Source organism: Homo sapiens, chromosome 3, assembly GCF_000001405.40.
Source record: "Homo sapiens chromosome 3, GRCh38.p14 Primary Assembly".
Lineage (NCBI taxonomy): Eukaryota > Metazoa > Chordata > Mammalia > Primates > Hominidae > Homo > Homo sapiens.
Window position 1 is genome coordinate 73,303,549 of NC_000003.12, and position 18,602 is coordinate 73,322,150.

At 40.4% G+C, this 18,602-nt stretch overlaps 1 long non-coding RNA gene across 1 annotated transcript in view; it reads left to right on the plus strand.

Moving 5' to 3' along the window:
* The window catches only part of LOC107986098 (uncharacterized), a 222,236-nt gene extending 208,315 nt beyond the window's left edge, over nt 1-13,921 (plus strand). Inside the window, exon 3 of the long non-coding RNA XR_001740754.1 lies at nt 13,860-13,921. This is a non-coding gene — a long non-coding RNA (uncharacterized LOC107986098). The remainder of the gene's footprint in view (nt 1-13,859) is intronic.
* The last annotated feature ends 4,681 nt before the right edge of the window (nt 13,922-18,602 follow it).

The following is an 18,602-nucleotide window of genomic DNA, read 5'->3' on the forward strand; positions in this document are numbered from 1 at the left end:
CAGTCCCCTGAGGTATCAGTTAGGAGAAACAGAAATCCTCTAGCACTAGCTCAAGCAGAATGTGGGATGTGATGAACATACCTTGGAAACAAGACCTCAGGAAGGAACCAGAAATAGGCTTAGGAAGGATTGAGGATTTCTTGTGCACCTCTTGTGCCTGCTTTTTCCTATGGGTTTTCTTCCGTCTTGGGCTCAGTGGCCACATGTACCCTGCTGATCCACCTCTGGAGCTTATATATTATAGTTCTGGACACCTACAGAGACCAATTGTATTAGTTTGCTAGAGCGGCTATAATAAAGTATCACAGACTGCGTGGCTTAAAGTACAACAGCTATTTGTTGTCTCACAGTTCTGGAGGTGTGAAGCTCAAGAACATGGTGTCCACAGGGTTGGTTTTCTGAGAGCTGTGGGAATCTGTTCCATGCCCCTCTCTCCAGTGGTTTTCTGGCAACTTTTGTATTCCTTGGCCTGTAGAAGTATCGCCACCATCTCTGCCCTTACATTCCCATGATGTTCTCCCTGAGTACATGTGTCTGCGTTCAAATTTCTCCTCGTGTAAGGACACCAGTCATTGGATTAGGGCCCATCCTAATGACCTCATCCAGACTAGTTATATCTGCAACAACCCTATTTCAAATAAGGTCACATTCTGAGGAATTGGAGGTTAGGATTCCAACATATGGATTTTCAGGAGACACAGTTCAACCCGTGACACCAATTCTTTCTCTGTCTAAATTTCAAGCCTCCAGAAGATGGAAACTGACTTGCCTATTTTGAGTCAAGCGACAGGCATGTACCTCCAACAAAATCAACATGGTGGGTTAGGGGTAGGGAGAAAGAACACCTATCCCTGTGGATTGGGGAGATTTACAAGAACCACAAAAAGTCTGCTCTGGAAGCTTTGCACATTGGCTTCCCCCACCCACTTCTGAACTGTAAATGCCCCTAAGTGGCCAGTCATTATTGGCAGACACCTTAGCAATGACTTAGCAGAGCTGGCAAGACATGGTCCCTTTCAGTCTGGTAACCGAAACTCAGGCCCGCCCTGACCAAACTGGGAAGCTGGTCACATTCCCCAGACTTTATGTTTGGTAAAATGTTACATTTAGACAAATCCTTATACTCCTTTCTTGTTTTCTCTAAGAAAGGAACAAACTTTGTGTCAGGTTATTACTGTAATTTTTTTTTTTAAGAAAATTGGATAACGCAAAATATGAAGCAAATATAAAGCACCCCTAATCCCACCTACCTGAAGTAGACGCTGTTGGTTGGGCATGGTGGCTCACGCCTGTAATCCCAGCACATTGGGAGGCCAAGGAGGGCAGATCACGAGGTCAGGAGTTCGAGACCAGCCTGGCCAAGATGCTGAAACTCCGTCTCTACTAAAAATACAAAAATCAGCTGAGCATGGTGGCAGGTGCCTGTAATCCCAGCTACTTGGGAGGCTGAGGCAGGAGACTCACTTGAACCCAGGAGGCAGAGGTTGCGGTGAGCCGAGATCGCATCACTGCACTCTAGCCTGGGCAACAAGAGCGAAACTCCATCTCAAAAAAAAAAAAAAAAAAAAAGAAATAGACACTGTTAACACTTTGATATACTTTCTTCCAGACTTATTTGTTATTTAAAAACAAATGTATGTATATGCAAATGCATGCACACATGTTAACATAAATGGGGCAGTGTTGTATGTAATATTTTGTCTTTTTAATTTAAATGTTATTGATACCAAATTCCATGTTAATATGTATAGATCTACATCTAATTTTTAAAATAGCTACATGGCATTTCATACTATATTTACTCCTTCTATGCATAGATGTTTTGGGTTATTTTCAAATGTTTGTTATTATTAGCAATAAATTAATGACTGTTCTTATCCACATTTCTTTATGAATTTTTAGAAGTAGAATTGCAAGGCCAAAGGGTGTGTTCTGCCTTAGACAGGAAGATAGGAGAATAGGTTAGTAGTGGCCTGGTAACTACAGTTTCTCCCCAAACACACACAATGAGAGAAAATCTGTTTATGAGTAACATCAAGTAGCCGAGAGAATGAGTTTCCTGGGCCCGGGATAGGTGCTGTCTCTCAGCAGGAGTTTGCATCAGGCTGCTCATGTTATTGGGCATGATTTCCTTTGCTCTCATATATCAATTTATAGCCTAGAGCCCTGTTCTCCTGCAGCGGCAGGCACAGATCCAGTGATGAGGCCGCTACCCTCATCACTAAGAGTTGATAAGTTTTTCTGTCTGGTTTACAATTTAGCTGTAGATTTCTGCTCTTCCCACATCTGGGTTGAAATCTTGCTTGTGAGATGGCCTGATCTCCTCTGGCCTCAAACTGGGTACTAACTGGAGCAGGAGGTGGGCTCACTGTGGCCCAGGAGGCTGCGGGGAGAGGGTGGATTTTATGTTGAACAGAGTGGGCAGGGGTTTTTCTCTCTTAAAGCCAAGCATAAACCAAACAAAACAGAAACAAGAGACAAGTCAAGCGGCCCTTTACTCTCCAGGAAAATGTTCCTGCATTCCTGTTTTAAAGTCCTTCCTGCATTAAATAGAGGAATTGATGCATGGCATTTTATTTAAGCTGGAATTATTCTTTATGTCACCAAAGGCTGCTTTCAGATCACCTGCACATGACAGATTATAAAACTCAGGCAGTTCTGACATCTGGGTTGACAGTCCCCCAGTAGATCTTTGTCTCCTGGGATGTCTATAGATGTCTAATTCTTGGCTTGTTTGTCTTTTGGTTTCTGGAGCCCGCAGGGCTACTCTGTAGGGAGGGGACAGGAAGGCTATGTGTGTGCACGCATGCACTCACCCACATGCGCACCCGTATACATACATGTAAGGCACAGTTCCTGTATCATCAAAAGAGTTTAACCTGGGTCCAGTTGCACAGCTTCTTAAAAAGCCTTACACAAAACTATATCTATTTTTAAGTGTCCCCATACTCACTCTTACTCCTTGTGATTCTTCCTGAGATTATTGCAATCACTGGCAGACTTTGTTTGCAATTACAGCCATTCCTCAACTTGTAGACAACAGTGACTGAAACAATGGAGTGACAGAGAAGACAGAGGACAGTGGGTCCTAGTAGGCACAAGATATGGTGGTTTGAGAGGAAACAGGAGGTGCTAGCAAGTTTTTTTTTTTTTTTAAATGAGTGTTATAGGATGTGAAGGAGGGGAAGCAGGCTAAGGGAATCCAGACAGACCCTTGAAAATGCACTCCAAGATGTGTTTGGAGATGAATTGAACTACCCTAATTTTATAATTTAGAAAGTATATTATGTGTACCCAGAGTTTACTATGCAACAGGAACTATGCTAAATGGTTTACATACATCATTTCATTAGCTGCTCATAAAACCAATCTGTGGCATCATTATTAGCTCATTTTACAGATGGGAAAGCCAAGCCTAGGAGAAGCTACATAATATGCCTAGGATCACACAGCTAATGCACAGTGAGCTGTGATTGAAACCCAGTCCTCTCAGACTCCAGAGCCCTCCTGTGCTCTTAGTGATGATAGTCCTAAATCCCTCCCCCTATCCCCAGCCCCAACTGCTGTTCACATGTGCCTTTGGGTTTTGAAGATAATGCTTACCTTGAGACAGTAAATAAATACTGGGTGGACATCCTTTTGTCAGCAGTATGCTGCTTTTTAATGCTGGAAAGATGGATCTTCCTGGGGTGAGATCATAACAAAAATTTTAATACTTGGAGTTAATTGAGCATGGACTAGGGACCAGTTTTTGCACTAAGGCCTTGATACGTGTTATCTCATTTAATCCCCACAGCAACCCAGTGAAAGAGGTACTGTCATGGTCCCTACTATTTGTAACAGTTTTGTCTGTTTACTTTTGTTTTGATCCCCTTACCCCCATTAGAATCTGAACTTCATAGGCTGGGCGCGGTGGCTCATGCCTGTAATCTCAGCACTTTGGGAGGCCGAGGTGGGCGGATCACGTGAAGTTGGGAGTTTGAGACCAGCCTGACGAACACGGAGAAACCCCGTCTCTACTAAAAATACAAAATTAGCTGGACATGGTGGCAAGCACCTGTAATCCCAGCTACTCAGGAGGCTGAGGCAGGAGAATTGCTTGAACCCAGGAGGCGGAGGTTGCAGAGAGCCAAGATTGCGCCACTGTGCTCCAGCCTGGGCAACAAGTACAAAACTCCATCTCAAAAAAAAAAAAAAAAAAAAAAAGAATCTGAACTTTATGAAGGTAGGGATCATTTCTTCTGGTTCACCAATATGTTGCTAGTATCTAACGCAGTGTCTAGCAAATGAGGATTCAAAAAATTACTGTTGAATCCACGAATGAATCAGTATTTTAAAGACGCAGTAAGTGAAGTCTGGAGAGATTAGGTAACTTGCCCAAGGTGGCAGGGGACCCAGGATCTCTTGAATCATTTGTCTACTCCAAGTAAGAGTTAACAGTTATAATGAGGGAAAATCAGCCTTTAGAAAATTTTTTAGAAATAAAAGTGTGGCCCATTCTACCTTGGGTCAGCAATATGTAACAGTCATGCTGGACCATCCATGATGGGTACACATAGGCTGCTATAACAACATACCCTAGACTGGGTGGCTTTAAACAATAGACATTGATTTTTTTAGAGTTCTGGAGACTCAAAGTCCAATATCAAGGTGCCGGTAAGTTTGGTTTCTTCTGAGCCTTCTCTCCTGGGCAGGAGGTGGCCACCATCTTGCCATGTCCTCACGTGGTCTTTCCTTTGTGCATGCACGTATCTGATGTCACTCTGTATGTCCTAATCTCTTCTTTTCATAAAGACACCAGTCAGATTGGATTAGAACCCACCCATAAGGCTTCATTACCTTAATTATCTGTTTGAAGACCCTATCTCCAAATGCAATCACATTCTGAGTTACTGGGTGTTAAGACTTCAACATAGGAATTTTAGGGAGAACACAGTTCAGCCCATAGGAATTTGGATGTCACTATTCCAGCTTAGGAGTTGGAACAAGGTATTCTTTATAATTTCTTTATATCTACACTGGAAAACTTGAAGGTTCCTACAAGAAAACTGCACTTTTTTGCCAGAAGGGTTCTAGTTTCCTTGGCACTTCTTGCTCTGTACTTAGCCTCCTATAAATCTGTTTAAAACCCTGCCCTGTGGCTCTGCAGGCAAGAGCACTGTCCCAGGCACATCTTTCTCCGAAATCAGCTGGGGAAACTTGGAGGAAGGCATTTTTAAACAGAAGCTCCAGGGATACCGCAACATGGAGCCAGAGGCTGGTGCATTTAGACTGCTGGGGTGTGACTGGCTACCTTTCTTAGGGATGGGGGTTGTTGAGATTAGGCCAGGATGGACTGAGAAGACACTAATCTAGACTTCAGGGGAAAAACAAATCAATTTACAAACAGCACCTTGGCTTTTTTTCCTTGCTCATTTTAGTCACTCCTTACTTAAATATATTAAGTACCCACTGAGTCCTTTCTCCGAGTAAGACACATCACTAAGGGTTTTGCAACCTGGGCATTAATGACATATTATCGGACAGATAATTCTGTGTTGTAGGGAGCTATCCTAAGCATTGCAGGGTGTTGAGCAGGATCCCTGTTCTCTATCCACTGGATGCCAGTGGCACCCTACTCCCAGTTATGAGACTTAAAAATGCCTCAAGATAGTACCAAATATCCCCTGGGAGGAAAAAATGGCCCCAGTTGAAAGTCACTGTGCTGAGTGATTTATATACATTAAAGCATTTAATACTCAGCTGCCTACCAGCAATTACTTCCTACTCTGCACAGCTGGAGCCTGAGCCACAGGGAAGTTAGATGTTACACCCATTGTCGGTAAGGATGCAACATATCCCCAGAGCTGAGATTTTAAATCGCAATGCCTCTTGTCACCCTGAGAAGTACGATAAGGTCTGCTTAGAAGCCCAGGTTGCATACCTGAACTGGGCAGTTTCTTTCTTTTTTTTGAGATGGAGTCTCACCCCGTTGCCCAGGCTACAATGCAATGGTGTAATCTCGGCTCACTGCAACCTCCGCCTCCAGGGTTCAAGTGATTCTCCTGCCTCAGCCTCCCGAGTAGCTGGGATTACAGGCACATGCCACCACGCCCAGCTAATTTTTTTATCTGTGGTAGAGACAGGGTTTTACCATGTTGGCCAGGCTGGTCTCGAACTCCTGACCTTGTGATCTGCCTGTCTCGGTCTCCCAAAGTGCTGGGACTACAGGCGTGAGCCACTGCACCTAGCCAAACTGGGCAATTTCTATTGATGAGAAGGCTTCTGATTTGTTCCTTTGTTCATTTTTACAGCAAATATTTTTTGAACTCTTATGATATGTCAGGCACTGTTTTAGATGTTGGACGGGATGCTGAAGTGAATCAAATGATACAAATCCCTGCCTTATGGGGTTTGGAATGTACAAATAGATGGCATAACATTCCAAGTCCTCCGTGAGGAGGCAGTGAGACAAGGCAGTGAGACCACATTATCAAACAGGTGATAGGTTATGTTGACATTTTGCTTTTCTTCCTATTATAATTACTGTTATTGTTGTTGTTGTGTCAGTACCCACATCAGCTTAAGAGCTTTACTCCAGCCAAACTTTGAATTCCAGGACATTGCGTTTCCGCTACTGAAAAAAAAAAAACTGTATGCTGCTTTGGTAGAATCGAAATAAAGCTCAGAATCAGAAAGCCTAAGTATTTTTAACACAATATTGCAGAATAGCTGCTCAGCGTTTTTTCAAATCCAATCAGTTAAATTTTGTCTCATTTTCTCTCCTTACCTGGATAAATGATGGGGTTTTGATGTTCTTGCGAGTCATTTAATAATAAAGGCTTGAATCTAGCCCATTTAAACTCCCTCTTGATGGGCTAGAGTTGATGCTGTGATTTTTTTTTTCAAAAAAAAAAAAAAGAATTTTGTTTCATTTTAGGGTCCATGTGAATTCTTCCCGTAAGAGCACACACATAAGTTTCTAACACTTATTGAAGTCTTTTGATAAATGGCACCATAAACGTAGGCGATTTTCTACATCTTGTTCATAGGCTTTTGAAATTTACAAGGTTTCCTTTAATACAATTGTCTATGCCAGCTAACAGGCAGTTTTATGGTCTATCTGTATTTATCATTAGGATAAAAAAATACCCTCATCTTAGGTTCTTTATTCTCACAGGCACATAAATAATTCCAAATAACCAGCAATATCTTGGCCACTATTTGATTTGGTAGCTTTGGGGGAAATTTCTCCTATTTTGCTTACTATTAAACCACTTTCTACCATGCACATTTTCTTGAGTTTTGAAGGGCAAGGGCAAATTCTAAAATGAATGATGTGAGTCTGACTAATGTATCCAGAAGTGTCAAAATGCAGTTTTGAAACAATCATGATGTGACTGAAATTCCTTGGAACCCTATGCACACCTTTATCTTAGAAGCTGGGGTAGGTGGGCACAGAGAAATGCTTTCAGAGTGGCCGGCGGGTTTTCAGGTTCTATTTAAGACTGTCACAGCTGATAAACTTTTAGAATTGTTAAAAATTGAATTACATTTCCATTATACCAGAGCAATCAGTTGAATAGTTTGTCATCCTCTTAAGACAATAAGATCAAACCAGTTTGTCCTCCAAAAGACTGGAATTAACCTGTTTTGACAGTTTTTAATAGTTATTTTAAAAATAAATTTTGGCCCCCACTGTAGTTACATCTAACTACTTCCAACATGGTACAAAATATAAAAAGATATATTTGTTGTTGCAGGAGAAATATTACATTATTTATTAGGTATCTAAAAATTCTATTTTCTTATGTGCTGTTATTGATGTCATATAGCTCACATGCCACTATATTAAGACTGTTTCAGCTGTATATTTTAGTAACAGAAAAATGAAAGGAAAAAATAAGATTAACTTAACTTCTCTTTTATGTTTAAAAAACTAAGTCTAGAGATGGAAGTTCAGGGCTAATATGATGGTACCACAAAGGCATTGGAGACCCTGGCTGCTTCTAGCCATTTGTTCTCCATCCTTAGAATGTGTGATCATTGGCTCATGGCCCAAAATGGTTGCTGGAGTGCCAAGCATCACAGCCAGGTTCCAGGCAGCATGAAGGAGAAAGAAGAGAAGTCTCTGCTCACAATCTTTTAAGGAGACTTTGTGGGAGTCTCACACAACGTTTCTATTTACATCTTTTAAAAAAATTTATTTAACTTTTATTTTAAATTCAGGGGTACATGTGCAGCTTTGTTATATAGGTAAACTTGTGTCATGGGGGTTTGTTGTACAAATTATTTTGTCACCCAGGTATTAAGCCTAGTACCCATTAGTTATTTTTCCTGATCTTCTCCCTCTTCCCACCCTCCACCCTTTGATAGGACCCAGTGTGTGTTGTTCCCAACAATGTCTGTGTGTTCTCATCATTTAGCTTCCACAGATAAGTGAGAACACATGGTACTTGGTTTTCTGTTCCTGTGTTATTTCACTAAGGATAGTGGCCTGCAGAGTGGCCTGCAGCTCCATTCATGTTCTTACAAAGGATATGATCTCGTCTTTTTATGGCTGCATAGTATTCCATGATGTACGTGTACCACATTTCCTTTATCCAGTCAATCACTGATGGGCATTTATGTTGATTCCATGTCTTTGCTATTGTGAATAGTTCTACAATGAACATATATGTGTATGTGTCTTTATAACAGAATGATTTATATTCCTCTAGGTATATACCCAGTAATGAGATTACTGGGTTAAATGGTAGTTCTGTTTTTAGATCTTTGAGGAATCTCTACACCATCTTCCACAATGGTTGAACTAACTTACACTCTCATCAAGTGTATAAGTATTCCCTTTTCTCTGCAACCTCACCAGCATCTGTTATTTTTTGACTTTATAATAGTAGCCATTCTGACTGGTATGAGATGGTATCTCATTGTGGTTGTGATTTGTGTTTCTCTAATGATCAGTGAATTTGAGCTTTTTTTTCATATGCTTGTTGGCTGCATGTACATCGTCTTCTTTTTTTTTTTTTTTTTTTTTTTTTTTTTTTTTTTTTTTTTTTTGGAGACAGAGTCTCCCCCTGTCGCCCAGGCTGGAGTGAAATGGTGCAATCTCAGCTCACTGAAACCTGCAACCTCCACCTCCTGGGTTCAAGCGATTCTCCTGCCTCAGCCTCCCAACTAAGTAGCTGGGATTACTGGCACCTGCCATCACCCCTGGGTAATTTTTATATTTTTAGTAGAGACAGGGTTTCACCTTGTTGGCCAGGCTGGTCTTGATCTCCTGACCTCATGAACCACCCCCCTTGGCCTCCCAAAATCCTGGGATTACAAGTGTGAGCCACCATGCCCAACCCTGCATGTATGTCTTCTTTTGAAAAGTGTTGTTCATGTCCTTTGCCCACTTTTAATGGGATTGTTTTTTTCTTGTAAATTTGTTTAAGTTCCTTATAGATGCTAGATATTAGACCTTTGTCAGATGCACAGTTTGCAAAAATTTTCTCCTATTCTGTAGGTTGTTTACTGTTGATAGTTTTTATTTTTTTTGGCTGTGCAGAAGCTCTTTAGTTGGATTAGATCCCATTTGTCAATTTTTGCTTGTGTTGCAATTGCTTTTGGTATCTTCATCATGAAATCTTTGCCCATTCCTATGTCCAGAATGGCATTGCCTAGATTGTCTTCCAGGGTTTTTGTAGTTTTGTGTTTTACATTTAAGTCTTTAATCCATCTTGAGTTTATTTTTGTATATGGTGCAAGGAAGGGGTCCAGTTTCAATCTTCTGCATATGACTAGCCAGTTATCCCAGCAGCATTTATTGAATATGGAATCCTTCCCACATTGCTTTTTTTGGTCAGGTTTGTCAAAAATCAAATAATTGTAGGTATGCAGCATTATTTCTGGGTTCTCTATTCTGTTCCATTTGTCTCTGTGCCTCTTTTTGTACTGGTAGCATGCTGTTTTGGTTACTGTAGCCCTGTAGGAAATATCTAGAAAATCCCATAATCTCAGCCCAAAAGCTTCGTAAGCTGATAAACAACTTCAGCAAAGTCTCAGGATATAAAATCGGTGTGCAAAAATCACTCACATTTCTACACACCAACAACAGTGAAGCGGAGAGCCAAATCAGGAATGCAATCTCATTCACAATTGCAAGAAAGGAAAACAAATATCTAGGAATACAGCTAAACAGGGAAGTAAAATATTTCTATAAGGAGAACTACAAAACACTGCTCAAAGAAATCAGATATGACACAAACAAATGGAAAAACATTCCATGCTCATGGATGGGAAGAATCAATTTTGTTAAAGTGGCCATACTGCCCAAAGCAATTTATAGATTAAATGCTATTCCTGTTAAACTACCATTGACATTCTTCACAGAACTAGAAAAAAATTTTTAAAATTCATATGGAACCAAAAAAGAGCCCAAATAGCCACTGCAATCCTAAGCAAAAAGAACAAAGCTATTGGGATCTCTTTACATCTTATTGGCCAAAACTTAATTACCTGGTCATACCTAAGCAGCAAGAGAGGTTGGGAAATCCAATCTTCTGGTTTGAAGGCAATGTACCCAGTTGAAAACCAGGATTCTGTTACCGAGAAAGTTGAAAAAATTGTAGTGTTTGCACCTGCTTATTCCACTAGGCCAAAGAAACAGACTTGCCAAGTAAATGTTGCTGTGCCTCTTCTGGTTTCAAACAGCTGCTCTCAGGGTAACTGTGTCTTTGAATAAATGTTGATTCTCTTCTCTCTTCCCCTTTCTATTACCCCTGAGTGGTATCTGGTTGAGGAGCAGGCTAACCACCTCACGGGACAGCTGGGTGATGGGAGACCCTCTGTGCCTGGACTGGTGCCTGCTGTGGTGTGGCTGAGATGGGCTGGGCTGTCGTTCTGGTGAATGCTCAGTCTCTGAGTTTTGCATCTGTCCCCTGCTGCTGGTGACTGCAGACTTGGCCACACCTCTGTTCATGAGATCTCTCCAGTCCTCTGAGAACTTCCACCACCGCCTCCTGGGTCCCTTAAGAACGTCTCATCTAAGCACATGCAGGTAGAGGGAATCAGAGGCCAGACCTGAGGCCAAGACCTTTACCTGGGACTGTCTTCTTCCCATACTTCTCTCAAAGGGGTGAAGGGTCCCCCCAGGTGATCTAGGGGGAAGCAGGGTGCCAGCCCCAAAGTTTCTACCATTTCCTTCTCTCAAGTTTCAACCCTAAGGGCAGAGGAAGGAGCGAATTGAGGGCTCTGAGCTGTTAAGTCTCTGTCTTGCTTTCTCTCTTGAGCTGCTGCTTCTGGTGTCTTGATATCTCCCTGCTCTGTGGACTTCATTGTTGTGGGGGAAACTGCCTTTTCCTTTCCCAGTTAGCATCATGGCTTAGCCTTAGTGGTGAAAGGGCTGAAGGGAAAATAAAAAGAAAAAAAAATCACAAGGAAAAATACTTAGTAAAATATCCTTTGACACATGCAAAAGCTGCTTATTTCCTGCAATATAGAAGAAACATGGTGAGTGTGTGTGTGTGTGTGTGTGTGTGTGTGTGTGTTTTATTGGAGACGCAGTAAAAATCAGCTCTCATTCTACCTGGTCCAGTTATCAAGAACATCAAATTAACAAGAAACCTAGTTAAAAGTTGTTGTTGTTGTTGTTTTAACAATACTATTAACACATGACAAGATTAGAATGTGTACTATTTTAAAAAAATACTAAGTTATTTGGATTTTAAAAGTATTGTATTTTACAATAGTTGAAATACATCTGTTACATCATATATTACATCTGTTACATCAATAATATTGTCAAAGTAATGGATAAAACCATAACTTAACACATCAAAGTCATATACTAGATCTGATACTATTTAGTTTATTATCGAAATTGGAAGGATTCATTGAGCAGCATAGAAATTTGTTTACATGTTACTTTGGGATGCTAGGTATTTGTGGAACTAAAAAGAATCAGGCACTTTTGTACTTTGTTTTTAAATCTGTGACGTTCTTCAAATTTAATTCATAAATTGATGCAATTTCATACTTAGGAACATAAAAAATATTGTATTTTACTATTATTACTGTTTCCAGTTCCTGACATATGTTTATTGAATGAATAAATGAATGAACTACATATATACTTGAAATCAAGAATGCAGAAGGAAAAAAGAAAACTCACAAATCTCAAGATAAGCCCCTTTTTTTTCGTTTTAACTTCAGATATTCTTCCCCCTTTGGCATTTTGATGACCTTAATTCAAACTCAGATGCCCCTTGGCACATTTTTTATCCTGCTCAGAGGCGATATGAATTTTACACTGTCTGTCACTGGCAGTAATTGCGTTAGGGAGCATCATCGATACCCTCCTCCCTCCAGCCCCCTGCTCTGGAGCTCGTGCTTCCTGCCACGTCTCAGCTTCTGTCTGCGGAAATGCATGGCGTCCACATTAAGAACATGTTTTATTCTGTCTCTTTTACTCAGCGACACTCAGAAAGGAGGGTGTTTACAGAGCTGAGAGGGGAGCACCACTTTTTCTAAAGCAATAAACATTTTCTTTATCTTTTTCTTCTTTCACGTTGGTGGCTATTAATTGTAAACTTTTGTGATATTGGGAGCAGTAAAAAGAGCAATGAAATTGTTCCTGTGCATTGTGGGACTTTGGGCCTGTGGCATTTATTTGTTTAGATATTTATTATTTAAAAATAGATATACTTTAAAGATATAATAAGTTTTCTTGAGAGACCCAGGGTAGCTGCTTTTTTTTTAATTAAAGTGTCCAAATATTAATCTAAAGATTAATAAAGTTCTGCTGGTTTCCTGGGGCTATACAAGGTGCTATGACTTTTGGTCATACTTACCTCATTTTTTTTTCCAGAAAAGAAAATGCCTTATGATTTCATGAGGACTTTACTGAACTGTGACTGGAAGTTTGGGGCTTTGTAATTCATCCATCTAAGAGAAATGGACATCTTTGCGTTACTGGTGTAATATTTGCTGGGTGTTTTATTTGTGCAAACATTTGCTTTGGAGGGAGAAGGCAGGTTTTCAATTCACTCTGTAAGCTATTGGATGGTTCCTTTGGATGGGTCAACATGGCTCCTTTGAGGAATTTAAACCTGTCCAATCTCCTAAGTCTTAAACTGCATTATAAAGCAGAACTTGAGGGGAAATGAGCCTGAGTGGCTGGCACCCCTATGGTACACAGGAGGCTGTTTGCCTCACTCATACTTGGAGGCAAAACCTACCCTCAACCCCATCACTGGTCCCCTGTGAGTTGAGCTAAATGTTTATGTTTATTTTTTTCTTATGGCCAAACTATATATTTTTTTAAAAAATCAAATAGTACAGAAATGTACAAAAGTAGACAGTGAAAATCTGTGTAAATCACTTTTAGAAATAAATTATTACTTGGTGCATATCACATTACATGGATTTTAAAAGACTTGGAAAACTCAGAACGTCTGGAAACCATACGGTTTAGAAAATGGGGCAAAGCAGAGTAGGTGTGGTCACTCCATAGATCAATGATCCCAAATCCTGACTCTCTGTCCAAGGGATAGATTTCACCAGTTTCTGGTGAGATGAGAAAATAAGAATAATGCATTCTCTCCTTCCCACTTTTGTGGTCTTAAAAGATCATTTTTGAAATGATAATAAATTTAGTGTTATTAAGTCCTTCCTTGGAGTTGGAGATTAGGTTGTTATTCAAAGTATTTGTTGCCCATCTGCAGAGGAGAACCACATATCCTTTCCTACTCTGTCCCCCAAGATATGAAGGTTGGCCATGAGACTTGCTTTGGCTATTTCATTCGTCAAATGTACCCTTTCATAGCAGAATCTTTAAGAGACAGTATATATCTAGAGAGAAACATTCTCTAGTATCTCTCTTCCTTCTTCCACAGGGTATTGCCTGTACCATCTGCCTGGGTCTCAGACTGAGGATGACGAGGAGCAGAGTGGCAGCCAACTCATAATAGGTATGTTGCATAGCAGGGAAATAAAATTTTGTTGCTGCAAGCCATTGAGATTTGGGGTTGCTTGTTAGTGCATCATGACATAGCCTAAGCAAACCAATATACTTGGCAAAATTAAAAATAGGCAACCGTGTAGGGCCTCATCAGGTTATTACAATTTTATAAGTCTACAAATTCAGGCATTTGGGGCTTATCACTGTATGTAAAAATGAAATGGTAGGTAACAATGCTGAGTATTACTCTAGGCCTATGCTGTCTAATACAGTCGCCACTAGCCACACATGTCTATTGAGCACTTGAAATGTGGCTAGTCAGAATGAAGATGTGATATAAATGTCAAATACACACAAGTTTTTGAAGACTTAATACAAAGGAATGTGTGAAATATCTCAATTTTTATATTGATTACATGTTGAAATGATAATGTTTTGAATCTATTGGGTCAAAATCAGAAAGAGTGCTAGCTTTAATTTCACTTGCTTCTTTTTTTAATGTGGCTACTAAAATGTTTAAATCACATATGTGGGTCATATTAGATGTTTACTGCACAGCTCTGCTGTAGGCTATTACATCAAACAGAGTTTGGTTTCTTTCTTCATTCTGCCGGTGTCTCCCTGTGATCTTGCAGAAGTCGCTTCATATCTCACACTCCTCATCTGCAAGAGAGAACAATACTTGCCTCCTGGGATATTATAAGGACTAAGTAAGATCATGAGTATGTTGTGCCACCCATGGTAAATGCCCTTCTTTTCTCAAATCACACAATGATGTATTTTTTTGGAGGCTTCCTTTTGAATTAAAATTGGTTCATGATTTCTGTCAGGAAGGGCCAGTTCATTTAATAAATTTCAAATGCCTCTGGATTTGGGGACCTCGGAGTTATGTGTGAGATGAACTGGTTGGGCCAGAGTCTTGCTCTGAATAACATAAGAGGGAGCTTCTCATTCCACTTGTATGCTTTGGCTTCTCTGGAAGGTAGAAAATTGTTTTGGATTACTCTTCGTCCTGATTTCATTATTTGCATCTTTAGAAAATGCAAATGACCCATGCACTCTAATGGATTATATTGGGATATTCATCTTGAAATCGTTCATCTTTATTGATTCTTTTGACACAACACAATTGGGTGCATGAAAAGCAACTTCCTTGTGGACTGCAAGCTAATTTCCTTTATGAGTCCACACAAAGATGCCAAGTTAGTTTATTTTTCCTGATGACTGATCCATGAGACAAACTGAGCCATTTGAAAAATGTCTTATTGAGTTAAAACATTTCCATGTAAATACTTCACCTTACTTTAAGCATTTAAAAGAATCTATATAGTTGTTTTATAAATATTTGGGATCCTTTGGAGAGCTGTTGGCATATGTGTATAGCAGTTTGCAAAGTTTTAAAGCATCATTAATATAATAAACTGGTTGATCAAAGAGCTTCAACTTGTGGTGAGTTGCTTGATGCTGTGAGTAGCAAATTGTAAAGCTGTGAGCCCTGTAAGTTCTACAACACAAGTGTCAGAAGTGTTATGGTTTGGCTTTGTCCCCATCCAAATATCATCTTGAATTGTAATTCCCATAATCCCCATGTGTCAAGGGCAGGACCAGGTGGAGGTAATTGGATCATATGGGCAGCTTCCCCCATGCTGTTCTCATGATAGTGAATGAGATCTGATTGATGGTTTTATAAGCATCTGGCATATGCTTGCACTTCTCCTTCCTGCTGCCTTGCAAAGAAGGTAGGTACCTTGCTTCCCCTTTACCTTCCACCATGATTGTATGTTTCCTGAGGCCTCTCTAGCCTCAGGTGTAACTTACGATTAACCTCTTTTCTTTATAAATTACCCAGTCTCAGGCAGTTCTTTACAACAGTATGAAAACATACTAATAAAGTTTGTTTCTCTCTTGTCTAAACAAAGCACTGAGATAGGCAATTCAGGCTGTAAACGTGGCCCCGTAAATCCCCAAGGACTCAGCCTTTTTTCTATCCTGCTGCTCTGGAGTTCTCAATCTCATAGTCTCAAACGGCTGCTTGAATTCCTGCCATCATGACCTCATGCCTGTCAACAGAAAAGACAGTAGAAGAAGGGTCTGTCCACCGCCTTTTAAGAAGACTTTCTGGAAGCTGCATATAACACTTCTGCTTACATGTGACTAGCCAGCACTTAAGTCATATGGCTACATCAAGCTCCCAGGGAGACTGGGTCACATCCTCTTTATCCTGAGCAGACATGTCTCTGCTAAAAGTTGGAGGTTATATTAATAAGGAAGAATAAGAGAGCAGATATTGAAGTGAAGAACTAGTAGTTTCTTGTCATCTTTTATCTATAATTTTTAGGGAGTTTTCTGGGCCTCATTTTATAATACTTGATTAGTTCTTGACCCCAACCAAATGAGGGAGTCGTATTATCTCCATTTTTCAGATAAGAAACTGAAGGTCAAGAGCTTGCCTTTCTACTAAATCAAAGTCATAATAATAATTATCACTCTGAACATTTTATGTGCATTACCACCATTGATTTTGGTCCTGGTCCCTCCAAAACCCAGTGAGTTTGCTCTATTATACCTCAGTTTTATATCCAAGGAAATGTTGGATAACATGCCCAAGGTCACAGGCTACTAAATACAAGAATAACTAGGAAGTAGAACCCAGTAATCTGATTCTAAACTCCTGCATCAGAAACTGTCAAACTTTTTTCAAGCCATTTTTAGTTTTCTGCTGCTGCAACAACAAATTGCCACATGTTTGGAGGATTGAAACTATACCTATGTATTATCTAAAAATTCTGTAGGCCAAAAGTCCTGTGGGCCAGGCTGTTTTCTTGGTTTGAGGTCCCACCAGTCTGAAATCACTGGGTCCACAATCCAGGAAAATTTCCATATTTCTAGATTAGCTAATTAGTAACCTTAATTCTATCTGCAAAGTCCTTTTTGCCATGTAATGTAACATATTCACAGGTTCAGGGGATTACGGTATGGAGGTCTTTAGTAAGGGGCCTGGGGACTGTTATTTAACCTATCATAGACTGCAACCCATAGTAAGACATATCTTTTACGTTGAAACCTGATACACACATGTAATATAAGGGCTGAAATGAGCTTCACCAAACAATACCTATTCTATTTTATTACTTCATTTTTAAGAAGTGGTGGTCATGACCCAGCAAATTGATTTCATGACCCACAGCTTGAAAAAACTCTGCAAAACCTTCTCCCATTTCCGCTGCTGTTACCTCAATTTGGCCATCTTCCTCTCTTGTCTGGATTATTACGAGATGGTAGCCTCCCAAGTGCTATTCATGCATCTCGGCTCTCCCCTTTCCAGGCCCCCTTTAATACAACCCACCAGCCATCCTTACTATGCGTATGCTGCCTCTTACCAGGTATCTGCGTTCACCATGGCTTCTGAGCTAAGAAACCTGATGGGTATTTCAAAGAGTATCCCTGAGTGAGATGATCCCCGTTTTCATAACCAAGGCCTTGAGAAAGACTATAACTTCAAAGATGGCACATGGGTTTAACGTTGATCTATTGGTAGCATCTAATGCTCTGGAGTGCTGTGAAAGCACTGTGAAATCTCAGAAAGGACAGGCGGAGGACACCAGTATCAATTAGAGATGTCTGCTGTGGACACAAGAGGAGAGAGAGAGAGAGAGAGATGGCACAATGGCCAGACATTTGCCATCTTGGGGTTAGTGGATGTCCATCACAACTGCCCTTACAATTAGCAGGGGGACTTCCCTGAAAGGACAAAACCAAAATAAAAGGAGAGGAAAATTAAGCAGGAATGGATTTGAATTTTAAGAAGAAAAGAGTTTTCTCCATTTGTGTGGAGAACAACATAAATAAGATAGAGCAACTTGTAGGAGGCTGGGAAAAAATGATGTTTTTTGTCATTTGGGAGTATAGCACTGGGAAAGATATAAATCACTTTTCTGGGCTAAAAGAATTCTTAGCTCATTAAAACCTATTGCTGCTTTTACAACCATCCTCAGCATCATAAAACTCTGCTTTATCATTTCGAGAGCTCTTTGTATTTTCATTGCTCATTTTTCTGTTTCCCCAAACCAGAGGCCAGAAGCCCAAATACCTACAGGGAAGACATTTGGTGGCAATGTAGCGGCCTGGTTCAGAGCTGTGCTTTGGAGTCAGGCTGCCTGGGCTTAAATTCCAGCTCTGCCATTTACAATGAGCTTGATTTCTGAGCAAGTTGCTTAAAAATGGAAGGACAAAAATGGACCTCTTGGGGCCTCCATTTGTCATTGTATGCTGTTGACAACGTCGGTGCTGAGAAACGGGGGCATTTGCCATTTGATGGCCTGTGGCTAATGCTTCCTCCCTGTGGAGTGTTTTGGAGGAATGAGCCAGATAAACGGTGAGGAACATGAGGCATGTTGTCAGTGAGTAAGAAGTGGCAGTCATTATCGCTGAGTCAGAATTGATGGCTCTTGTTCGTACCATGGCTTAGCCATGTTTGAATTATTTGTTTACTTGTTTCTTTCCTCCATCAAAGAAGACCAAATGCTGTCTTCATCTTCTATCCCTCTCAGTATCCAATAGAGTGGGCTGAATTTCATCACATTCTATATGTCCAGCCTTGCTTCCATAGTCCCCTCCACCGAAACGGCCAGATGGGTCTTTATAACACCTTTCACATCAGATCCCCTGGTCAAGCCTC